At 36.5% G+C, this 16,690-nt stretch overlaps 1 protein-coding gene, 1 long non-coding RNA gene and 1 pseudogene across 4 annotated transcripts in view; 2 read left to right on the top strand and 1 right to left on the bottom strand.

The window, feature by feature from the left end:
- HTR2C (5-hydroxytryptamine receptor 2C) overlaps positions 1 to 16,690 on the bottom strand; it is a 325,976-nt gene that overhangs the window by 119,182 nt on the left and 190,104 nt on the right. The window lies entirely within an intron of this gene.
- LOC105373313 (uncharacterized) overlaps positions 1 to 16,690 on the top strand; it is a 96,198-nt gene that overhangs the window by 22,812 nt on the left and 56,696 nt on the right. The window contains exon 3 of the long non-coding RNA XR_001755943.2: positions 1,370 to 1,537. This is a non-coding gene — a long non-coding RNA (uncharacterized LOC105373313). The remainder of the gene's footprint in view (positions 1 to 1,369; positions 1,538 to 16,690) is intronic.
- On the top strand, positions 14,027 to 16,290 carry HSPA8P7 (heat shock protein family A (Hsp70) member 8 pseudogene 7; annotated as a pseudogene).

Raw genomic sequence — 16,690 nt, 5'->3', positions numbered from 1 at the left:
CTTGAGCGTAAAGAATAGTTATATTTTTTCCATAATAAAACTTGTGAATAAGAAGAAATGGGCAAAATACTCTTTTTTGTGATTAAATCTTCATGTAATTCATTAAGTGCAGATGAAACAAAATGTCATAATCTATTTAATATATTGTTGGAAGTTAAGCAGTGCTATTTTCTAAATGAGAGAAAGAAAAGGGGTATTCATTTTCTACGCTATGCCTCTAATAGACATGTACATTGGTTTAAGTGCTTATTTTTAAACTTCTAAAATTAATTTTTACAAATAGAATGAAAGTCTATTTATCTATCAAACATCCTATTACAATGAATTCCCATAAAGTAGAAAATTATTTTTGCTGTAATGAGGTGGGTCAACTTCAATATTACCTAACCTAAGTGGTTAATTGGCTGGGATTAGGAATCTTTTTGATTTTGTAAAACATTTCACTGTAATGGTATTTTTAAACTTTATTTCCTTCAAACATATGCATATAACAGGGAAGAAATTGCATTTAAAACTCATTATAAATGCAATAAAATGAGTAGGAGTAAGGATTTGGAAGGACATAGAACTGAATATTCACATTTAAACTATTGTGGAACTTCTTGAATACCATAAGGTTTTTGATTATCCTGAAAAAGAAGAGTGGGATGGGATCTTGTCCCTAGAGATCTGTAAAAAGAGGACAGACATCTAACTCCATGTACCATACAGATATTTTTAGGTTCTAATATGACTGAATAACAAAAACAATGCAATAATATCTCTCACAAACTACTCAACCACTTATAGTCTATCTCAGAATAAACAATTTATTTTATGCAAAATGTAACCAAAATATAAACGCTTAGAAGTGCAAACCTAACTCAGCATATTGTTCAAAAGACACTTTAAGTACCTGCACATAAATATAAAAACTTGATAGGAAATAAAACAAAATTCTTAGAATGCTAAACATATTATTTTACAATAATAGTAGGCAATACTTACATGTTGCTTACTATGTGCCAGGCACTGTTACAGGTGCTTTGTCCTCATACACGATTCCTTATATCCCATACCTAAGGTGCCTTAGTCCGCATATCAAGTGAGGCACATACTATGATCATCCCCATTTTAAAGATGAGGAATCATGAGTTTATGAGAGTCCTTGGATAAGACACAAACTTCTTATCCTTCTTATCAATATTGACCTTAGTTGTGGGTATGCTAGCAATAATTCCTTTTGTGACCTCTATGGTCTCTATGTTCTAAGCTCAAAGCCCTTTTTTTTTAATTTTCAGAGGTCGTTAACATTTTTTTAAATCTTAACAATCAAGATCACTTCTAATTATTGTTAATTAGTTAATTATTTTCTTTCTTTCTGAGAAAGGCCTGGAACAGATCAGCCTCCCTGCAGGAATCAACTGAGAAAGAATTAATGACACTTTCGAAAGCTTTAAATTCCAATGAGAAATTGAAGCCCTGGGAATATCTGCCTCAACATTTTATAGGGTGTATGCCTGCAGTCAGTGAGAAGCACGAGGATATTCCGTTCCTTGTAAGTGTAAAGTATGATAAAACATTAATCTTAAATCTCTTACATAGTAACAAAACAAGACCTACACTAAAATATTTGGCATTCTGTGGCACAGCTAAAATCTCAAGTAGTCTTCTTTTTAAATTATCACAAAAGGGTAATTAAACTGTTGCAAATTCTTTCCTATAGAATTATCCCTGCGCCAAAAGTGTGAAGCAAATAATTTTCTTCTTGAGATAATGTCACTAAGGAGGAGGCCTCAGCTTTCTTGAGAACTGTAATTTTTCGAATAGTTCTTTCAGTTTACTTTGAAAAGACTGACATTAATAAAGTCATTTCATGCCAAACTTAAGTTAAAGTAGGAAGATGAAAATTTGAATATGAGATATATTGACAATATTTTCCAAAAATATCCCACTGGGCATGGTGCCTCATGCCTGTAATCCCAACACTTTGGGAGGCTGACACAGGCAGATTGCTTGACCCTGTGAGTTTGAGACCAGCCTGAGCAACATGGCAAAACCCCATCTCTACAAAAAATACAAAAATTAGCTCGGCATGGTGGCATATGCCTGTAGTCCCAGCTACCCAGGAGTCTGAGGTGGGAGGATCACTTGAACCCTGGGAAATTGAGGCTGCAGTGAGCCGTGATTATGCCATAGCACTCCATCTTGGACAACAGAGCAAGATACTGTCTGAAAAAAATGTCCCTGACTTTGCTTGTATCTATACCTCATTTCATCTGAATTGGGAAGATTATATTCATTAAGGGTAAAAATGTTATTAGAATCCATACTCATGGGGCCAGGTGAGGTGGCTCACCCCTGTAATCCCATCACTTTGGGAGGCCGAGGCAGGTGGATCACTTGAGGTCAGGAGTTCGAGACCAGCCTGGCCAACATAGTGAAATCCCATCTCGACTAAAAATACAAAAAATTTAGCTGGGCAGCTGATGGACACCTCTAATCCCAGCTACCTGGGAGGCTGAGGCAGGAGAATTGCTTGAACCCGGGAAGCAGAGGTTGCAGTGAGTCGAGAAGGCGCCATTGCACTCCAGCCTGGGCAACAAGGATGAAACTCCATCTCAAAAAATAAAAATAAAAAAGAATCCATACTCATGAACTCATGAAGGGTAAAAACGTTATTAGAACCCAAACTGTATATGGTTAGTCTAAATCTGTAGTTGGTCCGGAGATAGAAGAGAGGAAATGCAGGGGTAGGAACAGGAAATTACTTAGTTTTCTCTTAGTTTAATTAATACTATTGGGTAAAAAAACAACAACAGGACTTATCCCTGAACTTTAACAGGATTTTCTCATTCTTCAAACCCTTATCTGAACTCAAAATGTATCAAAAAATTAATTTCCCCATTATTCCAGGGAATTTTTTTAGGATTTCTTTTTTTTTTTTTTTTTTTGAGACAGAGTCTCGCTCTGTTGCCCAGGCTGGAGTGCAGTGGCACCATCTTGGCCCACTGCAAGCTCTGCCTCCCGGGTTCACGCCATTCTCTTGCCTCAGCCTCCCGAGTAGCTGGGACTACAGGCGCCTGCCACCACGCCTGGCTAATTTTTTGTATTTTTAGTAGAGATGGGGTTTCACCGTGTTAGCCAGGATGGTCTCGATCTCCTGACCTCGTGATCCGCCTGCCTCGGCCTCCCACAGTGCTGGGATTACAGGCGTGAGCCACCGCGCCTGGCCTATTTTGAAGACTTCTAATTTAGTTTTGATGTCTTTATTTCTGCATGAAAAGAAAACCCTGGCTTTCAACCATTAGAACCATTTAGGGCAAAACTGAATGGCCGTTTTATATTTTTCCTTTTCTAAGCTATTTAATTCAATCTCCTGTATTCAAGATGAGGTCTCTCGAGCATTTATAAACTTTCAGTTCATTTTTTCCATACCCAACAGATTTCTGACTTGTGAAATCATAAATATTTTCTGGAACCCAATTTTTCGTGACCTGCTTTTCATACTCCTCTGTGTTCTACTGCCTTCTTAAAACCTTAAAATACAGTTCTGGTAGATATTTTTCTGCATGAAAATTGATGCAATGTGTTATTGCATGCAAACTGATGCAATGTGTACTACAACAATTGGCTTCTGTAACATCTTGGAAGGCTCTTTCAATTTTATTGGTGGATTTGTGTTGTATATAGTCCTCTGGGGAACCAGGCCCAAGGACAGATGGCTCCTTCTTATTCAGGATATAATGCGGTCCAGAAAAAGATTCGTCTGGGTCTTTGAATTTGGAAAGACTCTCTGTTGCCCAAAAGTGGGTGACTAGTACAAATGCATGCCAAAGACTATATTTCTTGGCAGATGTCGAAAATTGTAATTGCTTTCACTTCAGTCGCCTGTGTTTTGTGCCACAGCCACTTAATAAAATGAAAACCAGGAGAAAGAATCAACCAGAATACTTAGCAATGATGGCTTTTAGGGGAAAAAAGCAAAAAACAAAACAAAACAAAACAAAAAACACCCAAAAACAAAAACAAAAAAACAAAAATCCCACCTTTTTTTAAACTAATAAAACACAACTTAGAAACTGAGACCCCTAAGGAGAAGTAGGCTGTTACACTGGACTATGTGATTTCAGGCCAATTGGGCTCAGAACTTTTAAACTATTAGTCTGAGTCATATCAAATTGCTAATATTCAACTCCCTAACCTTCAAAAATATCAATTTCATATACCTCAACCTAATTTTATTCCTTTCCACCCATAACAAATTCATGAGAGGCAGCAGAGTGTAATATAATAGCTAAAGGTTTGGTGTTAGATTGCTTGCAGCCACAATTAAGTGGTTACCTCTGTCACTTAATTATTGTGATTTGGGGTAAACATTTGCATTTCTTTGCACCTCAGCTTCTTCACCTGCACAATACTTGATTGTATTACTAAAGGCATAAATTTCAGTATTTTTTGCTGCTGCTTTTACAATGTAGAAGTTGTTTCAGCTTGGGATAATTACTAGCAATACTGCTACAAATAATTCTTTTATATGGATCTTGGTGCTCATGTGTAACCCTTTCTGTAGGCTATACACCTAAGCATGGAATTTCTGGATCATGGGGTTCACACTTTTCTACTGCTATATAATGCTAAATTGCTTTTTAGTATAGTTTGTATCAATTTACATTTCCACAAGAAGTATATAAGAGTTCCTATGGCTCCATATGCCTGCCAACATAAGTATTGTCACACTTTTAATTTTTGCCAGTCTGGTGACTACTAACTGGCATTTAATTGCGATTTTAATTTCCCTGATTACTAAGTTTGAGCATCTTTACAAATATTAATTGTCCACTTGCATTTCTTTTGTGAAGTGCCCCTTGAAATCCTTTGTCCTTTTCTCAAATTGCATTGTTTGCTATTTTCTTATTAATTTATCAATGTTTTTTATATGCTCTGGTTACTACTCTTATTCTGGGTACTTGTATTACAAATATGTTTGCCACCTCTGTGGCTTGTTTTTTGACCCTGCCAGGTGTCATACAGTTTTTGAATTTTCCCCATCTTTTATTGAAGTATAATTTCCATAAAAATTCACTGCAGGGTGTTTTCTGATGAACCAAAGTTCTGTATTTTAATGTAGTCAGATTTATTGCTTCTTTAAATTGCTGCTTTCTGAAATCCTTCATTTACTGCAAGATCATGTAAATATTCTCCTATATCATTTTCTGAAATCCTCATAGTTTTGTACTTTATATTTAGGTCTATAATGCAACTCTAATTTATTTGGGGTATAGTATGAGGGAGTGGCCTGATTTTTTTTCCATATTGATACCCTGTGTTTCCAGAGCCACTTATGGAAAAGTCCATTCTCTCCATATCAATCTGCAAATCTAATCTGTTAAAGCTGTAAATACACTAATTGATTTTCTAATGTTAAATCAACTTTGCATTCCTAAGATAAACCTAATGTGGTAATAATGTATTTTTCTTTTCATAAGTCGCTTCCTTCAATTTTCTAATTTTTTGAGACCAATTTTCTAATTCTTTAAGGATTTTTTGCATGTATGTTGATAACTGAGCTACTCTTGTATTTTTTTCTCACTAATATCAAGGTTATTCTATATTCATAAAATTGGGAGTGACATTTTGCTTTCATTTCTTTGTAATGCTTTATATAAGATTGGACATTTTTGGTTCCTTAATGTTTTGTGGAACTCTCCAGCCACATAAAGCCATCTACTTCTGGAATTGCCATAGTGGAAAGAAATTTGGTTCTTTTAATGATTATAAAAGCATTAACATTTTCTGTGACCCATTAAGTCAGTGTTCTCAGTTGAATAGTGTCCCTTCAAATTCATGTCCATCTAGAACCTCAAAATGTGACCTTATTGGTAAATACAGTCTTTGCAGATATAATTACTTAAGATAAGTCATATTGGATTATGTTGGGCTCAAAATCCAATATGACTAGTCTCCTTATAAGAAGAAGGTGGCCAGGCGTGGTGGCTCACGCCTGTAATCCCAGCACTTTGGGAGGCCGAGGCGGGCGGATCACGAGTTCAGGAGATCGAGATCATCCTGGCTAACGCGGTGAAACCCCGTCTCTACTAAAAATACAAAAAATTAGCCGGGCGCGGTGGCGGGCGCCTGTAGTCCCAGATACTCGGGAGGCTGAGGTAGGAGAATGGCGTGAACCCGGGAGGCGGAGCTTGCAGTGAGCTGAGATCGCGCCACTGCACTCCACCCTGGGCGACAGAGCGAGAAAAAAAAAAAGGAAGGCAACTTAAGCAAGCAGGAGATGTACAAGAAGAAGGCCATGTGAAGACGGAGGCAGAGACTGAAGTAATGCATCTGCAAGCCAAGGACCGTCAAGGATTGCCGGCAACTACCACAAGCTAGGATGATTTTTCCTTTAGACACTCCAGAAAGAACCAACCTAGATTTTGGACTTTTGGCCTCCAGACTGTGAGAGAATACATTTCTGTTGTTTTAAGCCACGAATGTGTGGTAATTTCCTTGGAAAGACCTCACAAGCTACGACTGCCAGTATTGTCAAGTTATGTTTGTCTAGATATTTGTACATATTTCTAACTTTTCAATTTTGGGCATAAAATCATTTATAATATCCTTTTGTTATGTTAATTTATGTAGCATTTTCAGTGATATCCTTTTGTTTCAATTCCTGATATTCACTGTTTTTGCCTTCTCTTTCTTTTTTTTTTCTCTATTAATCAATCTAGTCAGTGGTTTGTCTGTCTTTTTTTTTTTTTCAGAGAACCAATGTTTGGTTTGATTTGATACAGTTTTGTTTTTATTTAATTAATTTCTGCTCATGTCTTTATCATTGTCTCCATTCTATTTTCCTTAGGTTTAATTTAGTCTGCAATTCCTAATTTTTGAGGGTATGCTTTGCTCATTAATTTTCAGCCTTATTCTTGACAATGTATGCATTTAAGCCTGATAATTTTGCTTTAAACACTGCTTTAGATTCATCTGGCAAGTTTTGATATCTAGTATTTTGTTATAGTTCAGTTTTTTAAATTTTTCTAATTTTCAATATGATTTTTGATTCATGGATTATTTCAAAATGTTTAGTAATTTCCAAATACTTGCTAATTTTCTAGTTGTCATTTTATATATGATTTTAACTTATATGTTTACGGTCAGAGAACAGTGTTTGTATGAATTAAATTTCATTAATTTTATTGAAACTTTCTCAGTGGCCTAGTAAATAGTCAACTTTTGTCAATGTTCCCTGTATGCATGAAAATAATTTGTATTCTACATTTGGGTGCAGAATATTATATAGTCATTTCACTTTTGTCAGTCATGTTTTTCAAATATTTTATAAACTTAGATTTTTTTTCCAGCTTGTTCTATCAATTAGTGAAATTATCTATTTGTTTTCATATTCCTGTCAGTTTTTACTTTATATATTTGGTAATCATGCTATTGCATAAATACACGTTTCAAATTGCTGTATCTTCCTGATGAATAGAACTTTGTATAACTATGAAGTTAACAGCTACGTCTCCAGTAATGTTCTTTTACTCTCTTAGCTATTTTATCTATTTCAGTAGCTATACCATCTTTCTTTCAGTTACTAATTATATGGTGTATTTTGCTGTCTTTTTAATGTCAAAATTTCTGTATCCTATGCTTTAAACGTATTTATAATAGATGGTGTAGATTTAGATTTCATTTTTATTTTGTCTTATTTCATTTTGTCTTGTTATTATGTTTATTTTATTTTGTTATTTTAACCCAGTCTGAAAACTTTTTCCTGAAATTTTAGACCATTTACATTTAATGTAAATACTGATATCATTGGGTTTATAGCTACTCTTTTATTTAATGCAGTCTACTTATTCTGCTAATTTTTTGTTTCCTTTCCTTTCTTACCCTTTTTATATTAATCCTTTTTTAACATCTCAGTTTTTCTGTCTGCCTCTCTTTCAAAGTTGTACACATTTTTCCTTTTCTTTTACTGGTTATTTTATAAATTAAATTAATGTGTGTTTGTGTGTGTGTGTGTTTCATAAAGTCTGAAGTTAATAAGTGTCTTTCCTCTTGGACAATACAATGAATTTAGAACATTTAAATTCAACTTTGAATTATGTTATTCTTGCCTTGTATTTTATCTTCTTAAAATATGTACTCACTTACGACACTATTTTGACACCTTTTTTTTTTATACAGGGTCTCACTCTGTCACCCAAGCTGGAGTGCGTTGGTGCAATCACAGCTCACTACATCCTTGATCTTGTGGGGTCAAGCAATCCTCCCACATCAGCTTCCCAAGTAGTTGGGACCACAGGTGTGCATCACCATGCCCAGCTAATCTTTTAATTTTTTTGTGGAGACAGGGTCTTCCTATGTTGCCCAGGCTAGTCTCAAACTCTTGGGCTAAGGCATTCCTCCCACGTTGGCCTCCCAAAGTGTTGGGATTTCAGACATGAGCCACCATGCCCACCCAGAATATTATTAATTTTGTTTTATAAGTCAATATTTCATTAGAATTATTCACACATTCATCATTTACTTGGCTCTTCATTCTTTTTTGCTCCTCAGACCTTCTATCTAGATTCACTTTCCTTTTTACTGAAATACTTCCTTTTCAAATTCCTGAAACAGGAATTACTGGTTAGAAAGTTCCTCTGTTTTCATCTGTATTTATTTTACACCCATGCTTGTATAACTTCACTAAATACAGAATTTTAACTTGGCAGTTATTTTCATTTAACATATTGAATATATTATTTTGGCTTTTTTTTTTTTTTTTGGAGAAGTCAGCTATTAGTTTAATAGTTCCCTTTGAGTAATATGCATTTTTGTCAGACTGCTTTTGTGATTTAATTTTGTCTTTGGTTATCTGCAGTTCCACTGTGACATATCTAGGTGTAGATTTATTTTTATCTGTTTTGCTTGGGTAATCATTGGTCTTCTTAAGTCTTTGATGTCTTTGATTATCTCCAGAAAATTCTAACTATATTGTTTCCAAATACTGCCTCTAACCCAATCTCTTTCTCTGTTCCTATTCAATCCCAATTAGACATTTGGTTACTTCTCACTGTATGTTACTTTTTTTTTTTTTTAGACGGCGGGGTTGACTGGGATGTGGTGGCTCACGCTTGTAATCTCAGCACTTTCAGAGGCTGAGGCGGGAGGATCACTTGAGCTCAGGAGTTTAAGACCAGCCTGGGCAACATAGCGAGATACTATCTCTACAAAAAATTTAAAAATTAACTGGGTGTGGTGGTATACACTCATAGTCCCAGCTACTCAGGAGGCTGGGGCAGGAGGATTACTTGAGCCGAGGACATCAAGGCTGCAGTGGGCTGTGATCACGCCACTGCACTCCAAAGTGGGCGAAAGAGTGAGATTTTGTCTCAAAAAAAAAAGAGAGAGAGAGAGAGATTGGGGTCTTGCTCTGCCATCCAGGCTAGAGTGCAGAAATGCAATCAGAGCTCACTGTAACCTTGAACTCCTGGGCTGAACGGATCCTCCCACTTCAGCCTCTCAAGTAGGTAGGACTACAGGCACACACCACCACACCAGGCTAATTTTTTTATTTTTTAATTTTTTTGTAGAGTCAGCGTCTTGTTATGTTATCCGGGCTGGTCACAAAATCGTAGCCTCAAGTGATCCTCCCACCTCAGCCTTCCAACATGCTGAGAATACAAGTATGAGCCACTGAACCCAGCCTATGTTACATATTTCTTAACCTCTCTTATGTTTTCAACATCTCCCTCTCTTTTGCATTTTTGACACTTTCTTCTGATAATTTTCTGTTTATGAATTCTCTCTTCAGCTTTGCCTAAACTGCTCTTAATTTACTCTACAAATTACTATAAAAATGGCCTGGATTATCTGAAAAAGAACAAAGTGGATCTTCTAAAAATTAAAAGCAGAACAACAGATGTTGTTGTTCCCTGTAGAAATTTTTCATCTTATAGTTTTTTTCTTTATTGATAGCAATAATGTCTGATGATACAATGCCTGAAGTTTTTCAGGTATATTTATTATATTTGTTGTTTTTCTGCCTCTTACCAGTGGTACTTTGAACTTGTGCGTGCCTAATTGTTGCTGTTTCCCAAGGAGCTACTTATTCTCTTTGGAAAATTATTTTTAGAATGGGGTTGCTTTTCAGAGAATATTTGCATTTGCTTCTTTGAGACCTTTAGGGGCATACATTCCAAAATTATTATCAACAAAATTTATAGCTTGAGATTTCTGGACAACCCAGTTGATATGAATCTGGATGACAAATCACTGTGAGTTCTGGCTTGTGGTTTAAAATGATCAGGGACAGGTTTACTCCTCCCCTCAATTCTAAGGCACCTTTTCTTGCAGACCCTAAGGGTGAGGTTGTGGTTCATGTTTACCTCTGTTTTATCCTTATACTTATGGTATAGCTCTTTAGGGTGTCAGCTTAAAGGAGGATAACCTTCTATTTGAATCCTTGTCTGCATACTTAAAAATTCCCTTGTTAAGCAAATTTCCACAAGACAATAGCTGCTCAGTCCTGAGCTGCCCACATCTGGGTTCCATCCTTCATATAGATTTTACTCTCTAATTCCTTACTCTCATGTGAGCTCTTTGATACTTTCATACATGCATACATACCTATGTGTGTGAGTGTATATACATACACGCAGTTGTTTCCCGGTATTCATGAGGGATTGGTTCCAGGACACCCGTAGATACCAAAATCTGCAAATGCTTTAGTCCCTTACATAAAATAACATAATATTTGCATATAACTGATGCACGTCCTCTTGTATACTTTAAATCATCTCTAGATTACTTATAATACCTAATACAATGTAAATCTTATGTGAATACTTGTTATATTGTATTGTTTTTATTTGTATTATTTTTTATCATTGTTTTGTTAGTTTCGTTGTTTTTAAAATATTTTTGATCTATGGTTGGTTGAACTTCCAGATGCAAAAGGCTGACAGTATATACACACATATACACATATGCACACACACACACACACACATATACATATACATCCAATATACTTGTTTGATAGTGTTACCTCCAAAAACCTAGTCTATCATCTTACATAGAGCAGAATTCATTCATAAACTTACAAAGTATCTTCTTGTACCCAATGTCTCCAATCCTCCTACAAATAAGTTGACATGCAACAAAAGATAACAAGAATCTGAGCTGAAGAGATGTTGTAATCCAAGTATAGGCTTGTTGTTTGAGATAGCTGCTAGTACCTGACTACGAAAATATCCCTGTGGCCTTCCAGAGTACTGGCAATGTTGAGTCTGAATGTGCTCAAGACCCTAATGTCCATGTGAAAGAGTTACCCTGCTTGAGTTGGAAGGATTTTTACTTAGAATAAAAAGCTGCATTGGAGGTGCAGCTTTTGTCATTAAAAGTAACTGCAAAAACTGCAATGACTTTTGCACCAACCTATATGGAAAACATCAGTACTGTTAACAGGTACACTCTGAAAGACACAAGAGAAAACATATTCTGTGGTTGTAATGGTTGTAGGTAAGGGGGAAAGAAGTCTTCTTTTAGTACCTGTTCTGCCACATACTATCTGTAATTTCAAAATCTAGTTTTCCTGTCTAAAATTTGAGAAAATTGCCTATTTTATTCACTTTACAAGGTTGTTCAGAGATATATTCAAAAGATATTATGAATATGTCAAATATTTAAGATATCAGCTGCAGCCTCCCCCCAAGATGACAAACTTTAACTGCCTGCGCTTCCACTGTCCTGATATCTACTGTACTGAGCTAAATTCAGGTCTAGACAATTAAAGAAAATTAAAAAATGATGTTGCACCAAGTGGCAATTTGATGTTTTGCCAAATATCTTCTAAAATGGAATCCTGGGGAGCCTAGTCAGTCTATAATTAAGAACATAAGATTTATATACGGAACTTTTAATTCTGTTTAATCACTTGGCCCTATATATATTTATTCTTCATTTCTTTTGTTTATGAAGAGTTCAAAAAGATAGTAAAGAGAATTAAAATGGGAACTGGACTACTAGCCAGGAACTTAATGTTTTCTATTGCTGACTTGGAATAGCAAATTTTCCTGGCCCAATAGCACAGCCCTCCATCTGTGTCCTGAAGGTCAGACATTATCTCTTACAGATGAGGCTTTATCTAGATAGCTCTGTTTCTATAATATAATGGCAGACGTAAACTTTTTTTTTACATGAAAAATGGGAAATGAATTGTGTATAATCATTTCTGTCTTCACTAAGACATATATGTAGCATACAAAAACACTAATCCAATACTGTACTGTGGTCTGGAAGGCACTTCCATTTGTAAGCTGACTTATGTGATATTGCAGTTTTTGCCTGTTTTTTTTTGGAAAAGGCTGATTTTCTCCTTTTTTTCCTCATTGCTTTATCTCATCCTACTGTATTACCACTCAACTAGGACAGATTCTCAGAAGTTTCTACCATGTGAACTTCAATATAATTTGCCTGATCACTTCTAAAATAATGTTCTAATAAAATCAATTCCTAAGAATAATTTTGTTAATAATTAAAATATCACATGTACTAAAATCCAGATACTTTATGAGCTTAACCTCTAACCCTCAATACCATGCTATTTCCCTGCTAATGTGGGTGAGAAAATGTTTATTTAGAAATAAGAGGTCATTTAAAAAGGTGAGATTGTAGGGATTTAAACTTATGTTCATGTGATACCAAAACTCAAGTTCTACTTCACTACAACACCTCGGAAAATACCATTGAGTTAATGGTATTTTATGTTTATTGACAGATGAACTGACATGGCACTTCCAGTACATTCTACTTTCATTATTAAAAAATATCTTCAGAGAAAGAAAGATACTAACTCGTACAATGACAGCACTTTATTTTCTGCCAAACATTTTCTGTTATGTAAATATAGGCATTATGCATTTCTACAGGAATTCATTCTGTCTCTTAAAGAATGTAACAAAACCACTATTTGCCTCAGGATTTTCGTTGGAACTGAACATTTCAGCTTTCCATTAGCTACCATTAGTCAGAGTCACTGAATTTGGACAATACTAATTTAAAAACCTCTCCACCCTGTAATCCCAGCACTTTGGGAGGCCGAGGCAGGTGGATCACCTGAGGTCAGGAGTTTGACACCAGCCTGGCCAACACAGGGAAACCCTGTCTCTACTAAAAATACAAAAATTAGCCAGGTGTGGTGGTGCGTGCCTGTAATCCCAGCTACTCGGGAGGCTGCGGAAGGGGAATCGCTTGAACCCAGGAGGCGGAGTTTGCAGTGAGCCAAGATTGTGTCACTGCACTCCAGCCTGGGTGACAGAGCAAAACTCTGTCTTAATAAATGAATAAATAAATACCAATAGAAAATTCTCCACAAGTTATTCAAAGCTGATGTTGAAAATTAGATATTTTATCTAGTCACACCAAGTTAGAAAATTCTACACTATATAACCCTTTTAAATTATTTAAATATATTTCTAAAAGTGAAGCATTTTCTTGGAGGCTAGGGCCCTGGTACACATCTCTGTATTCCATAATGCCAAGTGCAATGCTTAACACAGAATGGGCATTCAATAATATTTGGTGGCCTGAAATTTTGACACATTATCCCAGAAAGTGCCTTCAAAGGTCATTTTCCTCTTAGACCTTATGAACTGTTCAGACTAAAGCATGTCTTAGAACATAAATATAAAACTAACTGGACTAGAAGTAGATGAAATATAAATGCAGAAAAGGGCAGTCAGGAAAATCTTCAGAAAAAGTATGGAAATAGATCAACTTTTTAGTACCTAATCACAATACTTCTTAATTGTCATTACTAAGTACTACAGGGAGCCCTTGTAAGGGCATTAGTACATTTATTGGTCATTTTATTCATTGTCATTTTACTTACGCTTTGGTGCTGTTTTAATTCAGCAGATGATAGTTGAGGTAATATGTTTGTCAGCATATCAGTGAGTTTTTAATCATAGTGTTTTTGACATCATTTTTTTGTTCCATAGTATTTGCTATGAAATTTTAAATTACATCTATTTTCCCTTTCAAGAAGTAAATATAGCTCATTGAATGCGCCCGCAGTTCTGGAGGTTTCTGTGTCTTTCTTTGTAGTCAGAGCCGGCCCTACACGCCAGCAACCATGTCGAAGGGACCTGCAGTTGGTATTGATCTTGACACTGCATACTCTTGTGTGGGTGTTTTCCAGCATGGAAAAGTAGAGATAATTACCAATGATCAGGGAAACTGAACCACTCCAAGCTATGTCACCTTTATGAACACTGAATGATTGATTGGTGATGCCGCAAAGAATCAAGCTGCAATGAACCCCACCAACACGGTTTTTGATGCCAAACATCTGATTGGATGCAGATTTGATGATGCTGTTGTCTAGTCTGATATGAAGCATTGGCCCTTCATGATGGTGAATGATACTGACAGGCCCAAGGTCCAAGTAGAATACAAGGGAGAGACCAAAATCTTCTATCCAGAGGAGGTGTCCTCTATGGTCCTGACAAAGATGAAGGAAATTGCAGAAGCCTACCTTGGGAAGACTGTTACCAATGCTGTGGTCACAGTGCCAGCTTACTTTAATAACTCTCAGCATCAGGCTACCAAAGATGCTGGAACTATTGCTGGTCTCAATGTACTTAGAATTATCAATGAGCCAAGTGCTGCTGATATTGCTTACGGCTTAGACAAAAAGGTTGGAGCTGAAAGAAATGTGTTTATCTTTGACCTGAGAGGTGGCACTTTTGATGTGTCAATCCTCATTATTCAGGATGGAATCTTTGAGGTCAAATCTGGAGACATCCACTTGGGTGAAGAAGACTTTGACAACCGAATTGTCAGCCATTTTATTGCTGAGTTCAAGCATAAGTATAAGAAAGACATCAGTGAGAAGAAGAGAGCTATAAGACGCCTCTGTACTGCTTGTGAACACACTAAGCATACTCTCTCTTCCAGGACCCAGGCCAGTATTGAGGTCGATTCTCTCTAAGAATGAATTGACTTCTGTACATCCATTGCCTGTGCCCAATTTAAAGAACTGAATGCTGACCTGTTCCATGGCACCCTTGGCCCTGTATAAAAAGCCATTCGAGATGTCAAACTAGACAAGTCACAGATTCATGATATTGTCTCTATTGGTGGTTATACTCATATCCCCAAGATTCAGAAGCTTCTCCAAGACATCTTCAATAGAAAAGAACTGAATAAGAGCATCAACCTTGATGAAGCTGTTGCTTATGGTGCAGCTGTCCAGGCAGCCATCCTATCTGGAGACAAATCTGAAAACGTTCAAGATTTGCTGCTCTTGGATGTCAATCCTCTTTCCTTTGGTATTGAACTTGCTGGTGGAGTCATGACTGTCCTCCTGTCCTCATCAAGCATAGTACTACCATTCCTACCAAGCAGACAGAGACCTTCTGACAGCCTATCTATTCTGACAACCAGCCTGGTGTGCTGATTCAGGTTTATGAAGGTGAGTGTGCTATGACCAAGGATGACAACCTGCTTGACAAGTTTGAACTCACAGGCATACCTTCTGCACCCCATGGTGTTCCTCAGATTGAAGTCACTTTTGACATTGATGCCAATGGCATCCTCAATGTCTCTGCTGTGGACAAGAGTGTAGGAAAAGAGAACACGATTACTACCACTAATGACAAGCACCGTTTGAGCAAGGAAGACATGAACATATGGTCCGGTAAGCTGAGAAGTACAAAGCTGAAGATAAGAGGCAGAGGGACAAAGTGTCATCCAAGAATTCACTTGAGTCCTATGCATTCCACATGAAAGCAACAGTCAAAGATGAGAAGCTTCAAGGTAAGATTAATGGTGAGGACAAACAGAAGATTCTGGACAAGTTTAATGAAGTTATCAAATGGCTGGATAAGAATCAGGCTGCTAAGAAGGAAGAATTTGAACATCAGCAGACAGAGCTGGAGAAAGTCTGCAATCTCATCATTAGCAAGCGGTACCAGAGTGCAGGAGGCATGCCTGGAGGAATGCCTGGGGGATTCCCTGGTGGTGGAGCTCCTCCCTCTAGTGGTGCTTCCTCAAGGCCCATCACTGAAGAGGTTGATTAAGCCAACATAAATATAGATGTAGCATTGTTCCACACATTTAAAACATTGAAGGACCTAAATTTGTAGCAAATTCTGTGGCAGTGTTTAAAAGTTCAGCTGCTGTAGTAAGTTACTAGGAATTCTCAATACTTGAATATGCAACATGTGCACAGGGGAGGGAAATAACATTGCACTTTATAAGCACTGTACTGTAAGTGGAAAATGCAATGTCTTAAATAAAACTATTTAAAATTGGCACAAAAATATATAGTTTAACACTGCGTTAAGAATATATCTCTAAAAGTTACAGAGATATAAGCACTTACATTTTGTATAAATTATTAGTAGCAAAATGCAATCCTGAAGGTGTAACTACAATAAAATTGGGTTTCTCTATTTCCCTTCAAAGTTGGGTTGACGTTATGACTATATATAATAAGTATGAAAACAATCGTCTATGTGGTAATTTGGGAGCTGGGAAAATATCCCATTTACTTTATTATAGTAATTTAAATTGCACCATTGTGAGCCCTATTCTTACCAATTGACTAGGGAGACATGTACCTCCTCTGAACTTCTTAACCACCTATTATTTATTTGATGCATTCCATCATTAGCACATAACCTCATGTTGTTCATTATTTTTTACATAAATTTCT

The sequence above is a fragment of the Homo sapiens genome, chromosome X (genome assembly GCF_000001405.40).
Source record: "Homo sapiens chromosome X, GRCh38.p14 Primary Assembly".
NCBI lineage: Eukaryota > Metazoa > Chordata > Mammalia > Primates > Hominidae > Homo > Homo sapiens.
This window is presented reverse-complemented; position numbering and strand designations above follow the sequence as displayed.